The sequence below is a fragment of the Homo sapiens genome, chromosome 7, assembly GCF_000001405.40.
Source record: "Homo sapiens chromosome 7, GRCh38.p14 Primary Assembly".
In the NCBI taxonomy this organism is placed as follows: domain Eukaryota; kingdom Metazoa; phylum Chordata; class Mammalia; order Primates; family Hominidae; genus Homo; species Homo sapiens.
In genome coordinates, this window is record NC_000007.14 from 80719268 (window position 1) to 80746791 (window position 27524).

A 27524-nucleotide genomic window follows, 5' to 3' on the forward strand; every position below is an offset into this window, starting at 1 on the left:
AAAAATTTCAACAAGGAGCTAAGTGGGCTGTGAGAGTAACTGAGCAAAGCTGGATGGAATACACAAAATTAAATCAGTTGCTTTATTGCAGAATTCTTTAGCCGTTAGTAAACAACAACACAATGTGCATACTTAAGAAGACAGGAATGCAGCGTGCAGCATTTCTTGCTTGAGCTTAGTGGGTGAGATGGGGGTTAGTGTTTCACAGAACATGGTTAGAGGAAATATTTTTCTGAGGGCATCACTACTGACAGGCTCACGTAAGTCATGCATATACATGAACTATCCAGTTGCTCATCATTTTAATTTGCTTTAGCTCCAAGACTGGGGAAGACTATCACCTGCATTATTCTCTGGTGCCTTTATGGACTCTAGTACAATAGAATACTAAGTAGTTAATTGGCTAAAATAGGTCTTGGGTCAATCAGTTAACATGTTAAGATCAATGTCAATTGGCAAGTTCTATCCAGATTAAGATGTAAAGCATTTCTACGGCAGGTTAACTAATAATCTTTTTGGTCCTACCTAGCACTTTAGCTAGTTAGCATTATCATTCAAGTAATCCATGTAAATAGGAAACTTAATAAGGAATATGTGCCTATAGGCCTAAGCAGGTGTAATTTTCTTTAAAAATTAAAAGGTTTGTTTGTTTGTTGTTGTTTTTGAGACAGAGTCTGGCTCTGTCACCCAGGCTGGAGTGTAGTGGTGCGATTTTGGCTCACTGCAACCTCCGCCTTAGGGGTTCAAGCAATTCTCCTGCCTCAGCCTCCAGATTGGGATTACAGGCATGTGCCACCGTGTCTGGCTAATTTTCTTGTAATTTTAGTACAAAAGGGGTTTCACCACATGGGCCAGACTGGTCTCAAACTCCTGGCCTAAAGCGATCCACCTGCCTCGACCTCACAAGGTGCTGCGATTACAGGGATTACAGGCTGGGATTACAGGCATAAGTCACCACACCCAGCCTAAAAATTAAAAGTTTATACTGTATTGTTCACATTGTGATGCAACTTTCCATATGTATTTCCAGAATCAACTATGTATCAAGGAATATTGAAAGCATAAAATGAGATCATGGTGAATTCTCTCCCATTGTCATTCTTGTGGTAAGGGAATGAATGGTGGGGAGAGAAGCTAAGAGGAGAATTTGCTCTGTCTCAGTGCTGTATTGCCTCCTGAAACAGAATATCAAGTTTTCTTATCTACATGTGAAAAGGCTTTCAATACTTATAAATAAGGGTATCACATTAGTTCTAAAGGATGATTTTGAGTGTTCTGCTCATCTCTTATGTTTGAGGAACAGCATTATCTCTGGTTTTGTGAGCACTACTATTTCAGGACCAGGTGTCCTGGTACTAATGAGTTGCCACACTCTGAGCAGTGGTGATATTTAACAGAGTATGCCTTAAAACAGCATCTATGGCTACAAATTGATGAGGGTGTCAATCATTCCTGAAAGCCTAGTATGCAAGGAGTCCAATTTTCTCCTTCCAAATTTAGGGAGTATAATATCAAAGAGATGGGAAGTGAAAACTTTCAGACTCAGCAATCACTGAGGATGGTTTCATCTAGACAATTCATTGAAGCAAGAAAGTGAGGACTAGGAGTAGTAGTATTACGTAAAATATTTACCGATTTTGACAGAAGTCATATAATAAAAATATATCTATGCCATACATTTATAACTTACAAAATTTTAGTGTACTCCTTATAAAATATTTATAATAGAAAATATTAAATATGTAATTCAAAGAAGTGTAAATTGTAAACATACCTTTGGATACAAATTTTAGAAAATAAAGTTAATTAACATAAGGTTAATATGACATGGACCTTTAATGAATCATAAATAATGAAAATAAAATACTATTTGATCATTGTAAAGTTCAACCTCATATATGTACACAAATTATCCATAAAACTAAAAAGTAGAAACAACTCAAATATCCATAAACTGATAAGTGGATAAACTTAAGGTGATACATCCATACAATAGAAAATTAGGCAATCAAAAAAATGAAATACTCCTATGTGCTACATATATGAACATTGAAAACATCATGCTAAGTGAAAGAAACTAGTCACAGGTGACTATATATTGTGTAATTCCATATATCTGAAATGTCTAGAATGAGAAAACCCATAGAGATAGAACATAAGCTAGTGGCTGCCTAGAGTGGAAGAAGGGGAAGAGGATTAAAACTGACTGCTACACAGTACAGGATTTCTTTTTGAGGTGATAAAAATATACTAGATTATGGTGGTAGTTGCACAATTTATGTACATCTACATGGGTGAATTGAATGGCATATAAATTATATCTCAAGAAAAGCTATATATATAACCCCGGACTAGTGTGCCTTTGAGTCATAATATTTGTACGCAATTTTTAATATGCTAATTAAAAGCAATTTATGCCTCTATACCAGTTGAAGGAAGAATGCTGAGGTATTTTAACTCCAACTATTTCCTTCTACCTTTTTATTCTTCAAATAATCCCAATTCTCCTTTGATAACTTTGGGTAGACAATTTTTTTTAAACAAGGATAACAAATTTTTATTGGCAAGAGTTGTATTTTGTTTCAAAGTACACTTTCCAGTTTGTTTTCTTCTTTCTTGGTTCATGCACAGTCAGATGCAAAAGTACCAAAAACAGTTTCTGTCATGTTGAAATCCTGTTGATTTGGTAAATCTAATGTCTAAATTAGAGAACTTTTCTTTCTTTCCTTATACTGCAAGTTACTCAATGTGACAGTACAGTATGACTCATAGAAGCACAGATCTGCCTACGACTGCAGGCTGTGGGTGGATTGGAGTCAAGGAAGAAAAAAATGGAGTAAGAGATTCATATGCTTTGAATTCAAGGCATAAGGGTGAGATTTCCAAATGTCAAAGTAACCTGGCATCACAACAAAATTGTATGTAGTTTGCAATACAAAAATGTTTTAAAATAATTTAACAGGGACAATTTTCAGAATACCAGCCTGGCAGTCATCACTGTTATTGCAACTGCACAGGAATCTGGGTGCTACTCCAGTCAGGATCACTGTGGATGACCTTGTTTTCTAAGCCAGGAGGATTCTTGAAATGAGCCTCTTCTGTCAATCACATGTCTAGTACAGCCAGGGTCTTTGACTGTCTGAAAGCCCCATCATTGTCACCTTCTTAGTCTCTGCTACTCACTGGGAAGCCAGAGAGATTCCCCGCTGCTCTAGGACCAGAAGACTTTCTTCCTTTCCTAGCCTCTAAAAATCTCCTCCCTCATTCTTCCTCCCAGTTATTGCTCTCTTCCGATTCCCCAGCATGGTCCCCTGAAAGAATTCAGGCACTAGAAAACTAAAGCCCAGAGGCAATTTTGTCGAAGCAATTTAATTTTTAATCAAGCTATGCAAAAATCTCAAGGGGCAGGGGAGTACTATGGCCTGGGAGGAGGAGAGAAAACAGAGTGAGAGCAAAGTAAATTATCTCTAATTTAACCTGCCATACTAGGACTTAATCTCTAACAGTTCACTCCAAATACTTCTTAGTTATATAGAATAAACCATGTCATCCAATTTGCTGCTGAATGACCTTTCACCATCCTGGGCTGATATTAGTCAGAGGTGGTGATTGCTTAAGGCTCAGCTAAAGGAGCTCATTTTGCTCCTTTGCTGCGTCTTTCAGTCATTCCATCAGCATGAGCCACTGCACTTTGTGCCAGTGTACTCTGTGCCTCTTCCCACTGGGCTCTGCATTACGCTTTCATCTCATCCCAACCACTGGGCTTCTGTTAGTCAAACTTGCATTCCACATGACACATTTCCCCATCTGTGTCTTACTGTGAATATTTTCTGCTGCTCTCATAAAATCTTTCACTACCCTGGGTTACTCTCATCTCCTTCATTTGTAGACTGCATGATGGTTAATGATTAGGATTACAATACATTTCTGTAATGTTAACATGGTATCTCCAACAGTCATTGTTTTGTGGCTACAATAACACATTCTGGATATATAAGATTGAAGATTAAGTTAATTCACTTTTATTTAAATGGGCTTATTTCTTTTTGACATTTGTAGTCCAGTTGTAGAGTATGAGTATGTGTATATAGGTGTGTGTGATGATAACAAATAATGGGGGAAATATTTGAGTCAATTCTCACTTGGGAAGGGAAGTTAAATCCACAATTGTCAGATAGATTCCTTAAAACCTTAAAAAGCTTAAATTACATGTCTGGATTAGCTCACCTTGGTGTAAAATGGGACATTCAAATTCCTGTCTCATTCAAGCCACATCAGTTACATCTGCATTTTAGAGGTGTTGTTTTCTCTTCCTGAGCTAGTTGTAAGTAATCCTTTAATCAACTGAACATACTTTTTTTTTTTTTTTTTTGAGATGGAGTCTCATACTGTTGCCCAGGCTGGAGTGCAGTGGCCAGATCTCAGCTCACTGCCACCTCCGCCTCCCGGGTTCAAGAGGTTCTCTTGTCTCAGCCTCCCGAGTAGCTGGGATTACAGGCATGCCACCACACCCAGCTAATTTTTTGTATTTTTAGTAGAGATGAGGTTTCACCATGTTGCCCAGGCTGGTCTCAAACTCCTGACCTCGTGATTTACCTGTCTCGGCCTCCCGAAGTGCTGGGATTACAGGCGTGAGCCACCATGCTCGGCCGAGAGATGTTTTTAAAAAGAGTAATCGCAAAAAAGAGTAGGAGAACAGGAGTAAATGCAGGAAACAGAAAGGGAATGAAGCAGAACTGAAAGGGAAAGAATAAATGAATATGAAGCAAGAGAGAATGTCACCAATAAATATCATGCTGTGAAGTTACACCTGTACCACAGAGCCCAGGTTACCCTCCAGAATGAGAAGGAACATGGCAGCTTGAATGGAAACCCAGTTTATGTGAGTGCATCACTTAACTTACCTTAGTTTCATTTTGCTTTTCTGTAAAGAAAGGGACAGAATGACCCCAAGGTTCAACAAGATTTCTTTTTGATTTAAAATTTGAGAACTCTATGAAAGGTCACTCTGTAAGCCAGGTAGCAGCTGGGCAATTCAGTCAGGCATGTGTTTACATTCCAAACATATTCCAGAAGCACCCTGTAGAGTTTGAAAAGGCCTCTGAATTTGTCCTTAAAAAAAAAAAAAATCTTCAACATGAGCTGCTCTTTGGACTTTGTTAAAGTGTTCTTTTCTTCTTTTGTAAGAGACCTCTGTCTGCAAAAGCCATCTGGGAAATATTCACCACAAGTTTTCTTGTAGGATGGAAACACTGCTGCACGCTAGCTGCCTAGAATGAGTACAAATCTATCCGATGGTCACTAACTGCCCTCAAAGCCCTAAATCACTTTCAGCTTTGAGGAGACATATGTGTTGGGATGGGTCCCATTCAATTAGTCTTTTCCAGTCAAACTCCAGAGTGAATCAGGGTTTTAGCCAACACTTAATAAATATACCAGATTTTAGCATCTGGAAGGAAGCCGATCCAAAACAAATTATATGATCCACATAGTATGTAGTTCTGGTGTGGTCATTTGATTCCTGAGTGGTGACCATACCCTGGATGTGTAGGACGAACTTTTAACCCAACAAATGACAATTTAGCAAACAACAGCTGCATAGCCCTTTCACCAGTGGAATGACAGAAACTCATATTAAATGAGTTGTATTTACAGTGATATTAGCACTTCAAAAATGGCTTTTTTGTCAGCAAAAACATAAGAAGGCCTACAGCAATTACAGGATTATGTTCCTCTTCAGGATATAAGTCATGTCCCAGAAAGGCAGATAAAATTAATGTCTCTTCTTCTGCTCAGTTGAATATTTGCTTTTATTTTTACCTCTATTTCGAATCTTTGCTAAGGAAAGGAAGACTTTGTCTTGGATGGTTTAGTTAACAACATGGCTTATGTTATGTTTTATGACTAATTAAAATGGAACTGAAACTTGCAGGATGGTGTTACAAATTAGTATGCTCCCATTTGGACCTCTCGTCTTAACTCAGCAGGTTGTGTCTTAATCCTGGAGCTCTAGGCACTTTCACGTGGTTATTGATTGAATCCACAGATTCAGTTTCATACAGCAAATGACACTATGTAGTCAGCCTCTTAATTACTTAATGCAGTATCTGTGTGTCATGACAATATGCACATTAAAACAAGTAGTGTAAATATAGCTGAAATGAGCCTGGCTGAGGCAATTTTTATAAAAGCTACTCTACGTGAATGGAAGGTGTCTCAAATTCAGTTAGGCAAAGTGTTTCAGTGAAAACGATGCACTATCCTAAAAGCCATTTGGATGATGTAATCTCTTATGACAAAGAGATTACAAAATGACAAAATGAAAAAATAATCCATAAATGTCTGTAGGTTGGGGTCTGTATGAGCAAGATAGTACTTTGCTTTGCAGCAAGTCTCCTTTTTAAACTAGAATGGGAATAATCATGATGTCTAATTACTAAGCAAAGATTGGTGGGTTCTTATTAAGGACTCTCAACATGTCCTAAACATTGAAACACATCTAAATGCTAGATATAGAAAATGAGCAGAATAACCCACAATGTAGGAAACCAACTACATAATCTGTCAGTTTCCTGTGATAGATTTAATCTTTCATTATTCTATAAATCAATTCACTTTTTAAAATTCATTGTGATTGGAGCTGATTGGCTAATTGTTAACCTTTTCTCTCTTCTTTTCCCTTTCCTCCTTTCATCTACTTTTCTCCTTCCTCTTTTCCTCTTTTCCTTCTGTTCTGTCCAAAAACATTTTAAGGAGCCAAGGGTCAAGATTTTTGAAAAACTCCTGAGCTCAGGCAGTCAATGGGTAGGAGTGGTCTTCAGTTCTTAGGATTCTAAGATTTTTAAAACATTCCATGAGTAATTGAAAGTTGTGCATATTTTCTTTTTGATTTATCATTTTATACATATGTTACCATTAGAACTTACATGTATTTTCATTAGGTCTTTTGTCAACTAATGGGTCTTAATTTTTTTTGAACTATTAAGAATTAAAACACAGTGCTATGTCTTTCAATATCCTACCCATTCCTAGTTTTTATGTAAAAAAAAAGTGCTTCTGAAACGGCAAAAAAAAATCCAGATTGTTTTATTAAAGGTTAATTATTCCCAGAATATATGATTGCTTTTATAGTCTCATTAATCCAGCACTTGAAAGTATAATACAGTCTTTTGTTATAGTTCTATTTCACATTGATCCAATGGTATGTGACAGAGGTAAAAGAAAGGGATGTGTCTACCAGCAAGAGTAAGGCAATTACCTCTGAAGGAAACTAACCCAGTTTGTAAGAATGAAAAAAATATACTAAAGGAACTAGTTTTTGATAAGGAATTTATTCATGGTACAGACATAGCCAGCATGACTTTTCAGGCTTGACTTTTGAGTCAAAGACAAGTTTTGAAATGTCTACTCTGTTGCTAAAGTCTAGCAGCTATGCTCTCTTTGCCACGTATTCATCAGTCTCATGAACTCTGAGATCATGAGACTATAACGTTTCTTTAAAAATAAAAGAACTTAAAGAATTCTCTTGTGGCATATGCAAATAATTCTCTTGTGGCATATACAACTTCTGTGCCAGTTGAATTATACTGTTGACTAGTTTCATCTTCAATAGCAGTGACGGACAAGTTCCTCTTCACTGACCCCACTGCCATCTGTCATCCTGGATTCCACCTACAGTGCATTGTATGAGCTACACTGAACAGGTTTCACCCTGGTCAAGGTCACTGCCCAGCCAATCAGAATTGATGGGGTCACTGCAAATATCCAAATTACTTCCAAATGGAGGTGCTGACAGACACTGTTAATGAGTACTGTTTTGTCAGACTTGTTGATGACCTTTGACAACATCCTTCTTCCAGACTGCTGAGATTAGTCTTTTTTTCCCTCCTTCTGACATTTAGGTGGTATCCGATACTTAAATGCACATTCGAGGGTAATCTGAATCTGTGTCAGAAGATGAATTTGCAGAAGTGATAAAACTGATGGTGTTGTTATCAATCCATTAAGGAAATATTTTATTTGCTTAAGAAAGGTCTAAGCCTGCACCTTTGGGTAACTGCTATGGAGAACCGGATGTGAGATGCACAAATCTATATTATCATACAATTACGATAGCAGAGCAAATGATCCTACTTCTAAATAGTATCAGGTACCTTACTTTTCCACTTGTGTCCCATGCTGGCCAATGAGGTGCAGAATACGAAAGAGAATAGATCACTCATAGTTGTACATTGTCATTCTAAAATAACAGTATCTGCTTACACTGGTTGGGTATTATGACAAAATTATCAGGTATATTATCAAAGAGACTCTTGAGATCATTGTCTTGCTTTTTTATATTTCTGGTTATCCTCTGTGATGAATCAGCCAAATCCCAACACCCTCAAGAAGCTACTTAAAATGATGAGGTATTAGAGAGTGTGGGGGACTGTGCAGGTAGAAACCCTATGAACAGGTAGACCAATGGGAAGTCTGCAGTTCAATAAGGGTAGAAAAGTTTAATACATCACTTTGTTCTTTAAAAATTCTTCTATCCAGCAGCTATTTCTGTTCTATATTTTCAGGTACTAGCACCCGAGGGTGTTTTTGTTAAATGCTACTTTGTTCAGCACTTCTCTGTTACAGCAACTGGATTCTTTAATTGTTCACAAACTTAAATTATGTGAAGAGAAGTCCTATCCCTTTAGCTCTATTTCCTTAGCCCCCAAGGAAATTTTTATGAGATTCGTTTTCTCTGCTTCATGGATTAGATTTAATTTCCGTTCATAAGCAGACCCTTACTATCTGTGGTCTCCCTCAGGATTCTATTGTTCACCTTTCTTCCAACCTAAATCTCAAAGGCTGCCTTACAACTAATTTACAACTTCCAGTAAAAGTACTTTAGAAATATAGGCATTTGCTCAGAATATCCATAAGTTACAAAACATTGCCTTTATTAAAAAAACTACAGGTGGTCATCGTAGAGATTTACTCTATTAGTATTCTTATTTTTAATTAACAAGACACACATGTGCTGTCTTTTTTCCTTTAAGAATCATTTTAATGGAGTCAATTTTTATGCTCCCCTCCATTTGCAATTCAACACCTATTTAAAATATTTTACTGCAAATAAAAAGGATCAAAGATATTTAGAACAGTCTTATAATCTAATGTCTAGGAAACAAGTCTGAAATTAAGTATGAGACAAAGATAAATGAAATAGAAGCCTTAATATATATTCAGTGTTCTAGAAGATGATAGAATCCTCAACATACTTTCTCTGTAATTTTTCTTGGATTATGTCATCTTTCATATAGTTTCAACTATCTCTTTGTGGAGAGTCTCTCAGTGGTTCCTCTGGAGGCCAATTGTGTAAATCTTTTCCTAGTTTTGTATTCAATGACCTCTTGTTGGGTAACTTGAACTTAGCCATGAGGGTACTTTTGTATTTATACCATAAAAATGGGCAGATGCTACACCTCAAGACTTCTTTGCCCCTCACCCTTCTCCTGGAAAGCCAGTGGTTAAAGTATTACCAATTCACCACCAGTCTTGACCCTATCCTAATTCAATTCAGGTTAAATCTCACTAAAAATAATTTTATTTTCTTTTCCCTTTGTCTTTAAAATAAGCATACCAAAAAAAGTCATTTTAATTTAGTGAGTAATTGCTATTAAAAGCAAACAAAATTAGGTTTCTTGCATAATTCCTCTCCATATATCACTCTACGAAAGATATGTAATTGTACAACAAAGAAAATTATATATTCTTAGAGTTTGCCTCACCTGTCCCAATTGACGAGTGTTTCTGTTTGCAGAGAAAGGAAATACTCGTTTCACTGTGAAGGATGAGGAGAAAAGAAGAAAGAAATTATTCTCTTTTCTGTCTCCCCAAAATCTACCTTCATCCTCTCTATCATAAATTATACAAGTAAAATAGAACCTTGTCACTCAAAATGTGGCCTGCAGACCAGCAGCCTGGGCATCTCCTAAGAGACTGTTAAAAAAATGCAGATCTCCAAATCAACCTCAGACCTCCAGAATGAGAATCTACCTTTTAACAAGGCTCACAGATGATTCAAGGACACCTGCAAGTTTGAGAAGCTCTGGATTTGCGGAGAAAAAGGCAAGGGGCAACTAGGAGAAAGAAGGGATTTGGGAGGAGAGTAGAAGATGTTGGGTTAGGGCAGAGGTACATCCATTCAGTTATCAGGCCCCAACATGCTTGCTTCTCTACAAAGAAGAGGCACAACGGAGGACACACTTCACCCCTTTAAATGAGTTTATAGATGACTTTTCTATCCTCTTCACCTGTGGCTGGTTGTCTCCTAGCACCTGTTACAAAAGACAGTGATACTGACAAGATAATTCTAAACTACTGCTAAGAAATTTGGAGAAAGTTATCATTATGATCCTGAGGATGAAGCTCTTCATTTCTTCACCAAGTTGAAAATGTGGCTTGAGGAAAAATATTTCTGCTTTCACTTTGGCCTTGTTTGCCCTGAGGCCATGTGTAGCTGAGCACAGCCAAATGAGACTGACTGAAAAAATCTGGTATAGACAGTGCAGTTGAACAACAGCCAGGCCATGAAATGGAGTCCCAGAAATTCAAGCTCTTACTTAGTTGATGCTGACAGCTGAAAAGAATAGTTTTTTTGGTCTTGCATGCACTTTTCTGCACTATATAAACCATATCTCTAGGTCACTTACGTTGACCTGGCTTTGTTACAAAATGTGTGACCTCTTTAAGTGTCTCAGTTTTGTCGGTAAAATGGTTGTGTATGACAGCTCTTGGGACCACCCTGGTCTTTCCACCTGTCCTCACACCTTTCACCCCAGAATATTCTGCCCTGTAAGAGCTATCTAATTAAGACACTTTGTTCTCTGGCTCCAGCTGTTTCAGAGAATCCTGGCAATATGCTGCCCTCATTTTTTTGAATTCTTAAGTCCTACATTTATTAAATTTGTCAGATTTTCTCAACCCTGTACAGACATAGTGAATGTGTGTACACATGGGTGGTATTTTTAACCTAGTCTTAACCACTGATTTTTCTTGTGATAAAAGTGATGTCCTGAGACATTTCAATTGTTGTGGTATCATGCTAGTTAATAAATACTCGGATATCATATGACAAAATTATATTATTGGCAAAGGCAAACATCTATAGATAGGAAGATGATGCTGGAAGTCCTCATTTACACATGTTATGCTAATATTTTCTACCAAAAATTATCACTGACATTGAAGATCACTTGAATCTCAGAGCATTTATGGATGGCACTTCATAATTTCAGCGTCGTAACTTAGAATACTCTATTCTTTTATTAATTTTGAATTTCTTAATATTATTCATCAGTTTCATCATCTGCAAAAGGCAGATAATAATAATACCTATTCCTAGGTTTGAACATGAAATTTAAACAAGGTAATCCATAAAATCACAGTTGCTGGCAATTAGTAAGCATCCCATTAATGTTAGCTTTATTGTCATGATATTTTTACTTATTCTTTTATAAAGTCTTCAAACCACAATGTTGACAATGTTCAAATGCATTCAATAATTGTTTAATTAACATCTAAATATCAATCAAGTTGCTTCTATGTGTTTTAACACATACAGCCTAATCTCAGCATGCCAGCTGAATTACTAAGAAAAGATAAACTCTCTTTATTATTGTGATTTCTATTGTTATAGCTCATTTCTAACTTGGTCTTGAGGCCTCTCTCTTAAAAGTGGCCATAACCAAGATAGCCACTCTTTAGGAAAGCTCTGACTAGTGAAAAGTTAGGCTCAGATTGAAATGTGTTGGTCAGGCAAGACAGAATGAGAAGGTAAAACCAAATGCATGGAACATAAGAAATGTATTACTTACAGGTCTCAGGGAGGTTAGGGGTGCCAACGGGAAGCTGACGGAAGTCTGGAGGTGGTAGGGAACTCAACCAACAAGCGAGGAGTTAGAGGGTGAGAAAGAGCCAGGGAAAGGATCCGTGGAACTGTGAGTTTGTAAGGTCCACGGGCACAATCCTTTAGGCTTTCCTGTGGGGGTTGTGGATTGGCTAGTTTAAAAACAAATGTTTGCACAGGGGGATCTTATTTACATGATTCTAGTGTTAACCATTGGGTTCTATCATGGGCAGCAGCTGTCGGGTATGTTGGGTTTTTTTTTTTTTTTTTTTTTTTTTTTTTTCAGTGATTAAAATGAGGAACAAGTGGCTATTTGTAAGCACTCACACAGGGAGAGGATTTTTTTTACCACACTGAAGGTGACAGGGTACAGTTGCATTTCAAACAACTTAAGTCAGGCCTAAAAATGGATGTCAAGGCAGAAATTATATTAATCAATTTTATGACAATTATGGTTCCACTGCTTTAACCTCATTGACCCCTAATTGTATTTCTCACTTCAGATTCCTTTGCGAAGCAGCCAGGGCATCAATCAACTAATCAATCAAGTAAATACTTGCTTCTCATCTCCTTCTTCTTAAATATATCTACATTCTCAAGACATCTACATTGATCAACTCATCTCAAAAACTAATAGCAGGTGTTTATTTCATTATTTACTGCATTCAAATGCATATATATCTGCCTCAATCTCTGCTATTCCCAAGCTTCAACTCTTGGAATCAATCTGTGGATTCTTTTTTGGATATTATTCATATGTTTCCACCCCCAAACCTATAGAAAAGTCCTTCTTCTACCACATTAACCTTTCACAATTCTATACTACACAGTCCATTCTAGGCTCCTCCTAGAGCAGAAGCCTCCCCTGATTACTACACTGAAGTCTCCATTCTCTAAAGTTCTGACGACTTAGGTGGCATAGGACAAAAAGCAGACGTGTTTTTTTCAGTCCTAAACAAGCTGCTTGCTAGCTGCAGAAACTCTGAGCTTATTTTCCCATCTGTAAAATTCATAGCAATGTCTACCAAATATCACTGTGCGAAATAGAGGTGATAATGAATGAATAGGACTGAAATAGCATCTTAATAGAACAAGGTAGATTTTTCATCACGTTCTCTTGTGGCCATTGTGATAGAGACCAAATTTTTTGACTGTTGTTGAAGTGTCATCTTGTATTAGTAAGTATTTTATATTTGCCTTAGCTTCCTTTTGGAGAATAGATATGATGTTATTCATTTCTTATATGGGAGTACATGGTATAATTTTATTTGCTTGCCTGATAAATTTTAGTGAGTGTTCTACTTAATGGAAATTCTATAGGTATTCAAAGCAATAAGTGTGCATTTTCTAAAATCTGTATTATTTAACAGATGATGCCCTATTCATTACATATTAGTGTCTATAAAGATTCATTATATACTATCAAAAAGGGAAGGCCCCAAACCAATTCCACACAGGCTTATTAAGCAATTAAGCACCTGTTTGGGGGCTGGCACTGTTCTAGATATAAGGCATAAAAAAGCGATTGAGATATGAAGTTTACACTCTACCTGTGCTTTTTTTTTTTTTAATGAAAATATTTCAAGGCAGCCCAAAAAGGGCTTTTATGGTTTCTTTGTCTGATTGAAAATGAAAAACAAGTGCTGACAATCTCAGAATCCGTTAAGCACGCCCCCTGCTGTTCATTGGCTACAAATATTTTTGTCTCCACCCACCATAGCCACCATCGTGGTGGCTATGGTAGCGACAGTGGAGTTTAACACTCTTTAAGGAGAGGTAAAGACATCAATCAACCCTTTCCTCGTTTTTCCTCTTCATCAAATTCATCTTCCATAAGTATTTTTATCCAAAAATATCCATACTTACTCCATTCCTAAGAAGGAAACTCAATGTGCCACCATTTTCAAAGCCTCAATGCCAGCTTTTGATGAAGGCATCTCAGGAGAGTTCAGAAATCCCCTTTGTAGGAAAAGTCTTCCTTATTTTACCTGGCATAGGAAAGCAGTTATCTGTGGTGTAGGGGGTTCCATCGTGAGGAGTTGGAACAGCTCTGGAATCACTGCTTTAATGCTGACCCCATTGCCCCAGTTAAAGACTAAGTTCCCACATAAACTGAATTGTGAATTTCACTCTTCTGAAAAAGGATATTTTACCACAAACTCCATTCTCTAAGCTTTCCTCATTCACTTAGACAGCTTGTTTCTAAATGCGGGATAAAAGTGCCATCATTTTTGCAATAAATAAAATCAGGATTAAGTAATAGAGTCATTAAGGCAGCTGGTCTTTGCAAATAGTTGGTCTTAATCATGTGGCAATTTATCTTTAGTAAGGTTATTTACTGTGGACTCTCATCCATAAAAGCAGTTTGCATCCTCAGTTGTTTAGAGTCGCTGTCCTTATGACCCAGCCTGACTTAATCTAAAGCATCCATGCAGCAGGGTCTTTAATCACTCTTTGATTTTCATCTATGATTGTTTTAGTTCTCAATATTGAAACCTATGCTATTTCTTCTTCTGGACATTACTGGGTAACAAATCCCTTGTTCTGACAGTTTCTGCATATTGTATAATAGCTCCAGCACCACCTCTAATGCTCTCTTCTAGCTTCTATTTGACCTCATTTGGTGTTCTTTTTTCCTTCTGGACCACACTACTCCCCCAATCCGTCCTTGCTGTAAGGGGATGAATACTGCCTTATAACACTCCTTCCCCTTATTTCAGAAATGCACTCCAGGAGGGAGCTATTGCTTATATTTCTGTGTGAATGAAAGTCAATACTGAAGTCTACTAGACTTTAAGTCTAAAAGAAAGTCTACACTTTTAAAAAATATGTTTCGTACTGCTAGTTGATCTTCCTATTTTCTTTATTTCCATTCTTCCTCTCAAAAAGCCTCTAAAATATAGACAGAAATATGTTATGTTGAATGAAAATCGCTCGTGTCACATCATTGGCCTCCAATAGTTTTTATAACCCTTAGAATCAAATCTGAACTTCTCACCACGGCCATCAGGGGCCAAGGGACTTGGTTTCTCCACCTTCTGAATCCCATCTCCTCCATATCCTTTGCTTTCTCACTTATATCCAGCCACACATGTTTTCTTTTCTTTTCTTTTTCTCACATCTGCCAGAATTGTTTTTACCCTGGAGCCTTTTACTGGCTTGTCCCTCTGTCTGGAATGCTCTGTTTCCTAATTTTTGCATGATTCCCTTACCTTTCTTTAATTTTCTTCATAGCACTTTCCTGAACCTAACCGATTACATAATTATTTGTTTGATTCGGTTAACTTAAAGAAAAAATACAAAATTTATAACTTTAGGTAAGCAGAAGGGGATACTTTATTTCTCACCAAGGGTTGCAGCCTGCAGGGTGTCCATTCTGAAAGGGTGGGAAATATAGCCTCCAGTCAGAAGCCAGAATCAGATACTTCCATGGAGGGGCAGAGGGAACAGGAATTTATACCAAGTAGCTAATTTCAGAAGACTGGCTACTGGACCCTTACCTTTTACCATATACAAAAATCAACTCAAGATGGATTAAAGACTTAAGTGTAAAACCTAAAACTACAAAGATCCTGGGAGAAAATCTAGGAAATAACATTCTGGACATTGGCTCAGGCAAGACTTCATGATGAAGACTCCAAAAGCAACTGCAACAAAAACAAAAATTGACAAGTGGAACTTAATTAAACTAAAGAGCTTCTGCACAGCAAAAGAAACTACCAGCACTGTAAACACACATCTACAGAATGGGAGAAAATATTTGCAAACTATGCATCTAACATAGGTCTAATATCCATAATCTATAAGGAACCCAAACAATTCAACAAGCAAATACCAAACAACCATTTAAAAATGGGCAAAGGACATGAGCAGACACTTCTCCAAAGAAGACATACATGTGGCCAAGAAGGATATACAAAAAATGCTCAATATCACTAATCATTAGGGAAATGCTAATCAAATCCACAATGAGATACCATCTCACACCAGTCAGAATGGCCATTATTAAAAATTCAAAAAACAACAGATACTGGGGAGGTTATGGAGAAAAGGGAATGCTTATACACTGTTGGTGGAAATGTAACTTAGTTCACTCCTTGTGAAAGCAGTTTGGAGATGTTGGGAATAACGCTCAAAATCCTAAGGAAATTGAACACTCAAAGGATTCTTAGCACAGCAATTATACTTCTGCGCAGAGGGGTGCTTCTCCTTGGCCAGTTGCCATGAGAGCACCCCTGAACCAAGGGGCATGAGAGCCTTTATTCCTGACGCAAGTCCTGCCCCTGTACCCTTTCCCCATTGGCCGGGGTCGGGCCGTACAATCTAAACTAATTCCGGTTGGCTAAACATTGGAACTTTTTTTTAGATAAGGTCGGCACGTAAGGGAGAGAGGGGAAAACGGGACGGGGTGTCTCCAATGAGCTAGAGAGCTAGTCTTCTTTCCACATAAGGAAAGGAATGTGAGCTGGTACTGATAACGCCTGGTACTGTGGCACGTCTGGGCATGTAACAAAGGCAGAAAGGAAGAAAAAAGAGAAAAAGGGAAAAGGGATGGGGGGTAGTATGAATAAAAAAATAAAGGATTGATCGGGCTATTTGAAGAGAAACCTCATCATATCCCACAGGAGATTTCTCAAAGAAACTACAACAGTACTACCATTTGACCCAGCAATCCCTTACTGGTTATATACCCAAGGGAAAATAAAGCATTCGACCAAAAAGACACATGCACTTATATGTTCATCGCAGCTCTATTCACAATAGCAAAGAAATAGAATCAACCTAGATGCTTATCGATGGTGGACTGGATAAAGAAAATGCGTTAAATAACACCACGAAATACAATGCAGCTGTATAAAAAGAGATCATGGCTCCATGGATGGAGCTGGAGGTCATTATCCTAAGTGAATTAACATGGGAACAGAAAATCAAATCATGTTCTCACTTATAAGTGCGAGCTAAACATTGAGTAGACATAGACACAAATAAGAGAACAATAGACACTGCGGTCTATTTGAGAGTGGAAGGCGGAATGAGGGTGAGGATTGAAAAACGACCTATAGGGTACTATGCTGATTACTTGGGTATCAAAATTATCTGTACACCAAATCTCCACAGCACAATTTAGCCACTTAACAAACCTGCACATGTACCCCTTGAACATACATAAAAGTTGGATAGAAAAAAAGGAATTTATGCCAAGTAAGGTGGCCAAATATACATATTCAATAAGCTATGGAAAGAGTCACGAATACCTGAAAGTAGAAAGGTGCACATGCGCAGTTGAGCTTCCTGCATCTCCATGTTCATAAAATGGTGATGTAAGGGTGGAATTTTTGACCCTCTGACATCCAAAGATGAAGCAGAGGACACAAAATCCCTTACTGTGCAAGCTCTGTTGACTCACCAGAACCACTCCATGACTGTGGTCTCTTAATCAGGCAAAACAAAAGAGAGGCAGCATCAGGTAGTTGGTTGATATCAATAGTGGAGTCACTTAAAAGGGTTGGTTCCTGTTTAGCCCTTAGGGAAGATAGGCTAATCGTAGTGAGTGAGGGAGGGGCCTAACACCCTCATCCCATCAAGACTGAGAATTTCATTTTCAAGTTTACTCTGGGGTCCCCTTTGTCAAGAGATCGTCTGTTTAGTCAGTTGTAGGGTTTAGGATTTTATCTTTATTTCTCATTTCTTTATTTTCTTCTCCTCTAGAAAGGAGGCTTTACAACAGCAGGGACTTCACTTTGTTCCCTGCTATGACCTCAGTGACTGAAATACTGCCAGGTGCATAGGAAATGCTAAATGACTATTTGATGAAATCATGAATAAATGATATTTCCAAAATCAGAGGCATGGTAATAAAAACAGCCAACATTTGTCTGATACTCATATTATGTCAGGTAAGTTCTAAGCACTTTACATGGATTATCTCAATTAATCTTGACAGTAGTCCCATGAGATTGATATTATGATAATGATCTCAGACGTGCAAAACTAGGAAGTACTAAGAAAGCAAGCTAAAGCAAGGTGTTCTGACTTCACAGCCTGAGCTAGATGCTACCTAGAGTCCTAGAAATCCTATTTCAAAGGCTGCTGTATATAGAATCTGTCCAAATGATCTGACTTTCCTAATAGATATTCCTGAGGGGGACTCTTGATGATGAAGTATAGAAGACGCATAAAATTTGTAGCCAGACTCATTGTTTTTCACATTTTTTGGCCTGTAGGAAGTTATTAAACTCAGGCAAAGTCTCCAAATGCTTCCAACCCTCATTTGTAAAATAGATTAATAGCATATCCTTCAGAAGATCCTGTGAAAGAAGATATTATGTATAGTGTGTGTGTTTACATAGAAATGCTCACTAAATGGCTATCTTTATGAGGAGGATGGTGGTGGAATTTGTGGTGGTGCCATGACTGCTGCAGATGAGAGGTGCATAGCACAGTGGTTAGCATCTCTACCAGACTGACTTCGACATGCTTGACCATGCCTGAGGACTGGCCAGGATAGAACTGACAGGAGGCTATGGTATGGGGTATCCAGGAGTCTTAGGAAAAGCCAAGCTCCTCATGTGGAGGATAACAGCTGACATCCAGGATGAATAAGTCTAAGCTCCAGAGAAGTCACCTCAAGGTTTCTAGGCAGATGGAGAAGGAATTCAGCTTGAGGAAGGAGTCAAGAGCCTTATCTTGGTTTGAAAAAAAAAACAAAAAAAAAACAAAAACAAGTAAGACCCACAAGGTTCATGTCCTGATAATGATTATCAGATCATCTGCCTGCCAGTGCCAGGGGGATAAGGAAATAGGAGCAATAAAAAAGATAGCAAATGGTCACTGGAACTTCTGGATGAGCTAAGGGGCTTTGTAAAGCATGTAATAATAGCACCAATTAAACTAATAATAATATCTTAATCACGTGGCAGGAATGTGATTTTATCATCACAACCACCATATGAAGGGAATAATATTATTATCCCAATTTTTCAGATGAGGACCCCAACAGGCACAGAGAAGTTAAGTAACTTTCCCAACATAACTCAGTTAGCAAATGGCTGCTGGGAGTCTGTATAAATAGAAGAAACAGAGGATTATCCTGGGAAAACCAAGGAGATGGCCTCATTGAGCCAGAGAGCCCAACAAAGGCACAAATGAAAATATTGGTACAAGTATTGAGAAGAATGATGATTTTCAAATCTTTCCTTTGAATAATATTGTAAGAGAAACTAATCACATTGCCAGCTCATTAATTAAAATAACATTTGATGATAATGCTGTGAGATATAGCCTTCAAAAGATACTTATTTGGACAACAGCTTTATAATGAAACTCCCATCTCCATTTAATTATGTAAGTACAGTTGCTTACTGTTTTCATATCTACAAAAATTAGAAATAGCATTTTCATTGAATTTAGTTTCATGCTCTCAAGTAAACTTCATCCACAAATAATTTAATTAATGGACAAAGAAAGAAGCTCCATTTATCTTATTAAATAAATATATTTTCATTTAAGATTTTTACTTTTTAATGATTTTCAAAATTTGGAATATATTTATGTCCTTTGGTCAAATTGTGATGATTTATAATTTTAATTCCAAAAAAAATGTTAATACTTAGAGGGTTATATTTCTTTTTTTTTTCTTTTTTCTTTTTTCTTTTTTTTTTTTTTTGAGAACGAGTCTCACTCTTGCCCAGGTTGGAGTGCAGTGATGCAATCTCGGCTCACTGCAACCTCTGCTTCCCAGGTTCAAGTGATTTTCCTGCCTCAGCCTCCCGAGTAGCTGGGACTACAGGCACGCACCACCACGCCTACCTAATTTTTGTATTTTTAGTAGAGATGGGGATTCACCATGTTGGCCAGACTGGTCTTGAATTCCTGACCTCAGGTGATCCACTTGCCTCAGCCTGCCAAAGTGCTGGGAGTACAGGAGTGAGTGAGCCACTGTGCCTGGCCTACATTCTTAAATAAGAATTAAATATGCATATTTTTGTTGTACATATGTATGATAGTAATCAATAAAAGACCTTAAAATATAAGACTTGCTGTATCAGGATAAAAATTTTTGAAGCAAGTAGAACAGAAATGTGAATAAGAATAAATAGAAATAGTATAAAATTTCTGGCTGTTAAAAAATTGTTAAAATTGGATCTTTTTTATTATTTTAAAATATGTTGAGTACCAAATTCCTATACTATTTTGATTTCATTGTTGTCATTTAAAAAGAGATATAACTATGTTATTTTAAAAGTTTGAAATTGATATGTTATTTTAAAAGTTTGAAATTGATATTTTACTGAAAGTTATATTCTTTGCAACTACTGACACATATAATAAGAAAGTTAGTTTTTAACTTAAAAATTATTTAGTGGCTACGTAACTTTTCAAAATTCTCTTTGAAGTACTTGAATGACAAAGGTTGAAATCTTCTCAAGCTCATGGGTGATGTTCAATGGATAATCCTTGCTCCAGAGAACCAAGGCAATGAAGAGTGAGTTGGTGGAGGTGGATGGTAAGCATACAGGGATTTGTGGGTTCTGTTTCTACCTCACTTCTGGGTTTGTGTCCTGGGACGGTACAAGATCTCCGAGGGGCAAACAACACAGACATATCTTGGTGGTTTTAGGCCGGAGAGGCTCAAATTGTCTCCCAGAATGGTGCAGGAATAGCAGAAAAATTCCTATTCCTCTAAAGCGTGTTTGGACATAATGGAAAGCTCACTTGCCCTGAACAGGCTTTCATTAGGAACAAGAGACAGCAGAAGACCTTTGTTAACTGGTGACAAAGTTAAACAGAAAAACCGATGTTATCATAGATGCCAATATGGATAAATGACATGAAATATCAACTGAACTATGTAGATGCAATCTGATGAAAAAGAGAAAAATGCTCAAATGAAAAAAATGGTTTTGCTCTCCTGATTGAAAAATAATAGCATATGCTGGAAGAACTCCACATATATTATTTTATTCTCACAACACAACTACTACATGGGATAGACATTATTATTATTTCCAATTTTAGAGAAAGTGACAATTCATCAAGAAGGATTAAATAACTTTTCCAGTTTATATCATTTATAAGTAGAGAAGCTGGAATGTGAACCTGAAGCAGAAATTGGGGCTCATTTTGGAATAATGTATATACTGAATATAGCTGGTTTGTGAATTTGCGGGCATGTAATCTGTATATACACATACACATACATATGTGTACATAAAAACATCACTGGGATTCCGCTGAATGTGCCAGGCTGGTGTGGCTTGGGTAGCATCTCCTTCATTTTATTGTTTTCTGTGGTCTGCTTTTCCTATACATGAGACAAACTGTCAATACAGAACCACAGCTTACAACACTTCCAGTTCACATCAGCTCAAAAGAAGGTAATTTATAGGTCTAATTTCTCTGTTTGACTATTCATGATTTGACAGAGAGGTAAAGATGATTATAATTTATCCCCAGAATCAGTAATAAATGGAAAAATTAAAACATATAACTTCTTTTTCTTTTGAGAAGTCCTAAGAAAGTGAGAAATTCCTTTTATCTCATGTATACTGAAAAATATCCAGAGAAACAATTGGAATGACCTTTTTCATAATTCTATCATATATTCATTTTGCCTTGCAGAAATAATTTTGTGTATGATCTCATAAAATCTTTGGGTGACTTTCTTTTCTGTGCATAATTCAGAGGAAAAAAAAACACTAAAGGAATAGAACTTCACACTGCTTTTGTACTTGGAGGTTGAGAGGTAACCTCACATAAACAGTTTTAATGTGTTTGTTATAATGTCATTCTTTAATAGCATTTTATGTAAGTAACACTCAAGCATGGCAACATAATAGCCCTGAGAAATACACAATTTAAACTATGTGGAAAGTAGTATTTTATGAGGTGAATAGACAAATACATTAGAGTCACTAGAATGAAGATGGCATTATTGTTATTTTTTTAATCTTGGAGCTAGTTCTTCCACCTCTCAATACCTGTGTACTATGAAGGCAACACTGTTATGAAACCATAAAAATTAAAACATATACCAGAGGTCCCTTAAGGAAAACAACTTATTGACAATGAATTTCACCAATTGGCATGCATGCCAGTAGAATGTGTTGTGGTTTCAATTTTGCAGAGGGGCCTGCATTCCTGTGCAAAAGGTGCTTGGCTAAAAGGATACTAGGATAAACTCTTAAGAAAAAAAAATTCCACAGTAATCTGCAGCTTTGTCATCACGCATGGAATTCAATAAAATTCTCAATGTCTCTGGTTAAATAAACATTTTTTCTTACTTAGTCTGCTTATTTTTTTTGTCTAGACTAAAGCTTTTTAACAGGCTGCAAAACAAGCTGAATGTTTCTTTTGACTTTAGCTAGCAGAATATGTGTAGGAAACTTACCATTTTCTTAAAAAATTTTTCACTTAGTTAAGACATAAATCAGCAGTACATTAAAATTATAAGAAACACATCAAATATTTTAAGACTCAGGTTAAGGTGAAATATAAGCAAGGGAGATACTGAGAAATAATGAAGCAATTAGGGAGTAGTGCAGAATTGTTAAGTTGGAAGACCTGTTAAGACAACTTTTAATTTTTGTGGTTTCTTTTTTCTTCACTGACATTATTAAACATTGAAAGCCCAGAGGTAGCAGAAAGCTGTAATAGGTCTGCCATTCAAATGTGTTAACTGGATTTTGAATTAATTTATGGTTTCTTTCCTCTAATTTATTAAAGGCTCATTTTACATGATAAGGTGTTACCTGACCCAATGACTGCAGTTTCCCCACCTAGATCATTGGCATTTAACTTGCCATAGAACACAACTGAAACATTCCTTCTTGTTCTAGCAAAATGATACCTTCTAAATAAGGCAATTTTAAGACATTTATTGAATACTTACCACGTAAAATGTTCTGTCCTAATGCTTTACTGGTATGAACTTGTATAGCAAAGGAGGGCAGAGAGAATTGTAAAAATTTCCCAGAATAAGACACTTAGCTTGGATTCAAATTCAAGCAATCTGACTCCAAAGACCATGCATTCCTAAACTGTGTATTTCTTCCAACGTAGACACAACATACTCTGAATAAGTATCTATAGATGTGAATGGATGTACAATATTAGGGAGAAAACAAATATGTATTTGTTTGGAAGTATACACAGAAAACAGATAATATTGGATGTCTTTTGGGTTGGGACTCAAATAAATAAGTGCTATTGGTACTGGGAGAGCTTCATATGTGCATTTTTCCACAATTTAAATTTTGAAATAGTGATGCATTACCTTCACAAAAAATGGATAAAGGAATCTTTAAAAATGATATGAATTCAGTAGATTCTATCATGCTAACAAGTAAGTTAACCCTACATTAAAAATAAAAGCTAGAAACATAACTGGGGAATTCAACATGTTTTATTTTGCCAGGCCAATGATTTCATCAATATCCAATTAAATTTTAGTGTGACAACTACATTTAGTTTGTTTTCTTACACAGATTGAACATTCACCATTATGACAGTTTCATCATGCTAAAATCTATTCACAAACTTACACTTTGGAAAAAAGTGTATTTCTAGAAAATTTTATGTACAATACAAATGGAATAGATATTAAGTCACTGAATTGTCAAGCTACATAAAATAAAACCAATCAACCACCAGTAGTATACATTAACAGCATTTTTGAAAAAAAATTTTCTTTTACATTCAGCAGAGTTATGTTCATGAAGAATTTCTACATTTTTAAAAGTAATGAAAGTGTACACAATTTAATAATTGTGAAAATAGAAAGAATTAAATAGCACAAATATAGTATAAAACTAAACACCGTTACTGTCTATCAGTTTGGGCTTATGTGAAATAAAGGGAACTGTGACTCTGAAACAATTTTACTTTTAACTTTGAGAATAGATTGGCCATAAACACAGAAGATGGTTTTGGCTTTACATTGACACATTTCTGTGTGTCAATGTAGAAGAGAAAAGAAGTTTAATTATACCTTTTAAGCAGGCAAACCATTATAATAAACTGCTTTAGAAATTACTTTAAAATTATACACATTTGGAACAACAGATTTTTTAAAAAATGAAGTTTGGTGTTATGTCAGCATTTTAACTATTTTTGCTATAGCGAGGCCTCCTCATATATTATCATAATTTATCATAGTTTAAATAGTGAATCATATTCTGATATTCTGATTAATAATCATATTAATTTTGACAATGATTTTAGTTTTTGAAGTTTTAGACTGCAATACTTAAAAAGGCCATAATCTACTTTAATTACCTTCATCATAGATTATTAACTATAAATAAAATGTTTATATGATATTTGGATTAGGTACATGGTACAATATCTGTTTTTACCTGGAAGCATGAAAATGTCTTAAAAGGTAAATAAAAAAGCAAAAGTAGTGTTTTTAAAATATATATGAGAGCATGAATAATTTTTTTCACATTTTTCCATCTAATTTTTATTTGGAGAAAATAATTTCAGTATGAAATTATTCTAATAAAATTATTCTAACATACAATTAGGAGATAATTATTTTATTCATCACAAAATTTACTACTTTTACACTTAGAGACCAGTGAACGTATGTACCATTACCTTTTGAAAGACAGAATGTCTCCTCATATTGTTTTCTTACTTTCTAGACATAACAAGCACCTTGCCATCACACTGAAAAGATCATAAAATATATAGTGTTGACTTAAAAATCAGTATGATATCTGAGACTGGTTTTAATAAAAGGAAGAATCATTGAATTTGAGTACTGAAGTTGAAAACTAGCCATATTTGTTATAAATTCCTCTTAAAAAATTAGTAGTTTCTACTTTGATTTTTCTTTTTGATGATTTCACACCTTATTTAGAAGTCTAATACTTCAAATTTTTCCTTCTTATATTGTTTAATTTGCCACACAGACTAGGGAATAAGAGAACAAACAGTAATAACTGAGTAGTGCCAGATTATATTCTTTGAGTCTAAAATAAATAACTTCCAAAAAAAGTAAGTGCTTTTGTTTGGAAGGTGATAACATAAGAATATAAACCAAACTGCTTCACTGATATAACTCCCACCAAATATCTTCATGGGGTAGGTTACTGATTTTTATCTTCCTGAATAAGGAAACAAAGGTCAGTGACAGATACCAGTAACTGATTATTTTTACAATCTTAAAAAAACCCCAACATATTTCATTGGAACCATAAAAACTCATCATTTTCTCTTTATGAATAACTCATGTTTTTATACAACTTTAAATGCTGTCTTCCTTTTCTATTTCTTTTGATAGCCATTCTGTCATATGCATTTATGACTTTTACTACGTAAAAGCTGTGGATTTGGAACTTGTTTTCATATACAAAATCACTGACAATTAGAATTCTAAAGCCCCAAAGCAGGAAAGGAATACCACAGGGATATGGCCCTCATTCAATTGAGGGATGCAACAATTCTAGTTTTGCAGCCACCATATCGATTTTGAAGAAAAGGTGAATAAAGATATAAATAAAATCTGGGTTAAGTTAAATATATTTATATGCACCATGAGGACCATGACATGTCTAGTGCTAGTCACTATCATACAAGAAAATGCATGCTCATTTCAGTTCGTGTAAAACTCACTTCAGGAGTAATCACCTTTTTCAGTAATTCCCCTTGGTAAAGCACAAGTTTCTTTGCTCAAAATTTGATCATTGAAGACAGAGCATTTGTTAATGGAAGCATAAGACCCACATAAGAAAATATTATGACTCTGGCAACTGATTCCTCCTGTTTCTACTTTTCCGACTATTGATGAGGGCCTTTAACTTGCCATAGTCCCCTCTCATTTTCTGTGATTCATCTCCCTGCTGATGTTGCTGCCGAGTGTCTTTGCAATATTGGTTAATCATCTGCATTTCTGAGTGGCTGAATGCCCCCATGATGTCCTTCGGGTGGAAGGGTAAAGCCCTCACAGAGCTGGCCCAGGTCCATGGGGACCATTTGTCCGTCACAACAGCCACCATTTCTGAATCTAAAACTTTGAAGTTGATCTTGGCTATGGTCTGCTTGAAACTATTTTCTGTAGCAATGCAGTGATAAAGTCCTTGGTCAGAACCCTGAACAGAGCGGATCAGGAGTCCCTGTGAAGTGGCTATTATTCGTTCATTCAGCTTAACCTAAAAGAGAGACAAATTAAAGTTACTGAAACTGAACATTATATTTCCTTAGATTATGACCAACATACACAGAATAGTCTCAACTTTCACAGATTTGGGAAAAAAGTATTGAGCACTACTTAGCATCCTTCTCAGTGGACATGAAATTTTGGTCAGTTCCATTGCCTTTTTTTTTTTAAACATGGGAGATCTTGTCACAGTCACAGGGGTATTGAATCTAATAGAGGGTGAAGATATTATCCATATCAGCAAAAATAGCTTAAAGTGCTTTCCCCTGGATAGATGTTTCTCCATATATAAGCACAAAACTTTGGTTGCCTTTGAAATTGGAATCACAGTCAATATCTGTAAATGAAACTCATAGATACTTTAAAATATCTATTCTATCCTGGTGTTCTAGTCTTTTATATTTATAAAAAATACTCGCCAGTGAAAACATGAAGCCACAATTAAAGGGTGAATTTTATCGTTTTGTTTCAATAAATGAATGGTCTTCTAAATAAAAAATACACAAGCAGAGGTAGAATTTTGAACATTATCAAGGGCCTTTTTCAATTATCCCAAAATAAACAATGTCTAAAAATTAGCTGGAATGTCATCATCTTTTAAGTCCTCTAAGTGGTTTTACTTTACAAGGAAAGGTAATAAAAAGCTATGAATTAATATTTAATTACTTTATAGGTTTTACTGGAAAAAATGATTGTTTACTGGGTATCAGTAAATGCTTGAAACCTTCCTCACAGTTCCACCTGTAGTACTGCCAATGAATAGATAAAAACCTAAGTGGTAAGAGGTTCTTTGACATGTATACTCTAGAATACTCTTTCATTGAAGAAAAAATAAATCTGACCAAAACCAAAATTAGATAATGCACGTTAAATGTTTTCCTAAATGATAAAGTTCTGTGCAAATGGACAAGATATTACTAATAATATCTAAATCAAAGATGAATTGGTTTGTGCACAAAAAAAGCACAAAAAGGCAAGTATAGTATTAAAAGATAATAGAACAGAACTAGAAAAGAGAGAATCACTTGGAGGAAGAAAACAAAATTTTGACATTAATTAATTTTACTAAGTTTAAATGTTCCTCAAAAACAAATTGTGTATAAACACATTCAGAAATTAAAGAAAGAAGAAATTTTATCCTATTTGTGCAAAATTGGGAAAATATTTTGAGTCCAATATGGTAAATCCATTAAACATGTATATAATATTTGGCACAATTACATTTTAGGAATTTAGACTATATACTCTCACATGTGTGCAGGTATTTTTGATAAGAGGAAAACAAGAAATTACCTAACAAATAGATGGCTTTGAAAAAAAACACTTAAGGTATATTCATACGATGGAATATTATGCAGCCAGGAAATATGAGCTGGAATCACATGTACTGATATTGAAGTGGGGTGTGTGTGTGTGTGTGTGTGTGTGTGTGGAGGGGAGGAAAACTATAGAACATATTTGGAGAAATATATAACT

The 27524-nt window shown here is 36.0% G+C and overlaps 1 protein-coding gene across 3 annotated transcripts in view, besides 1 other annotated feature; it reads right to left on the minus strand.

Moving 5' to 3' along the window:
* Positions 3586-3880: a silencer, noted in NCBI's record as "tiled region #7331; K562 Repressive non-DNase unmatched - State 24:Quies". NCBI's record gives its function as "represses a minimal TATA promoter and a strong SV40 promoter by Sharpr-MPRA in K562 cells {active_cell/tissue: K562}" and the evidence as "EXISTENCE:reporter gene assay evidence [ECO:0000049][PMID:27701403]".
* SEMA3C (semaphorin 3C) overlaps positions 23271-27524 on the minus strand; it is a 179852-nt gene continuing 175598 nt past the window's right edge. For all 3 annotated transcript variants that reach the window (NM_001350120.2, NM_006379.5, NM_001350121.2), the window contains one exon: positions 23271-26040. In NM_001350120.2, coding sequence (NP_001337049.1) covers positions 25627-26040 — 414 coding nt within the window. In that variant the 3' untranslated portion in view covers positions 23271-25626. The remainder of the gene's footprint in view (positions 26041-27524) is intronic.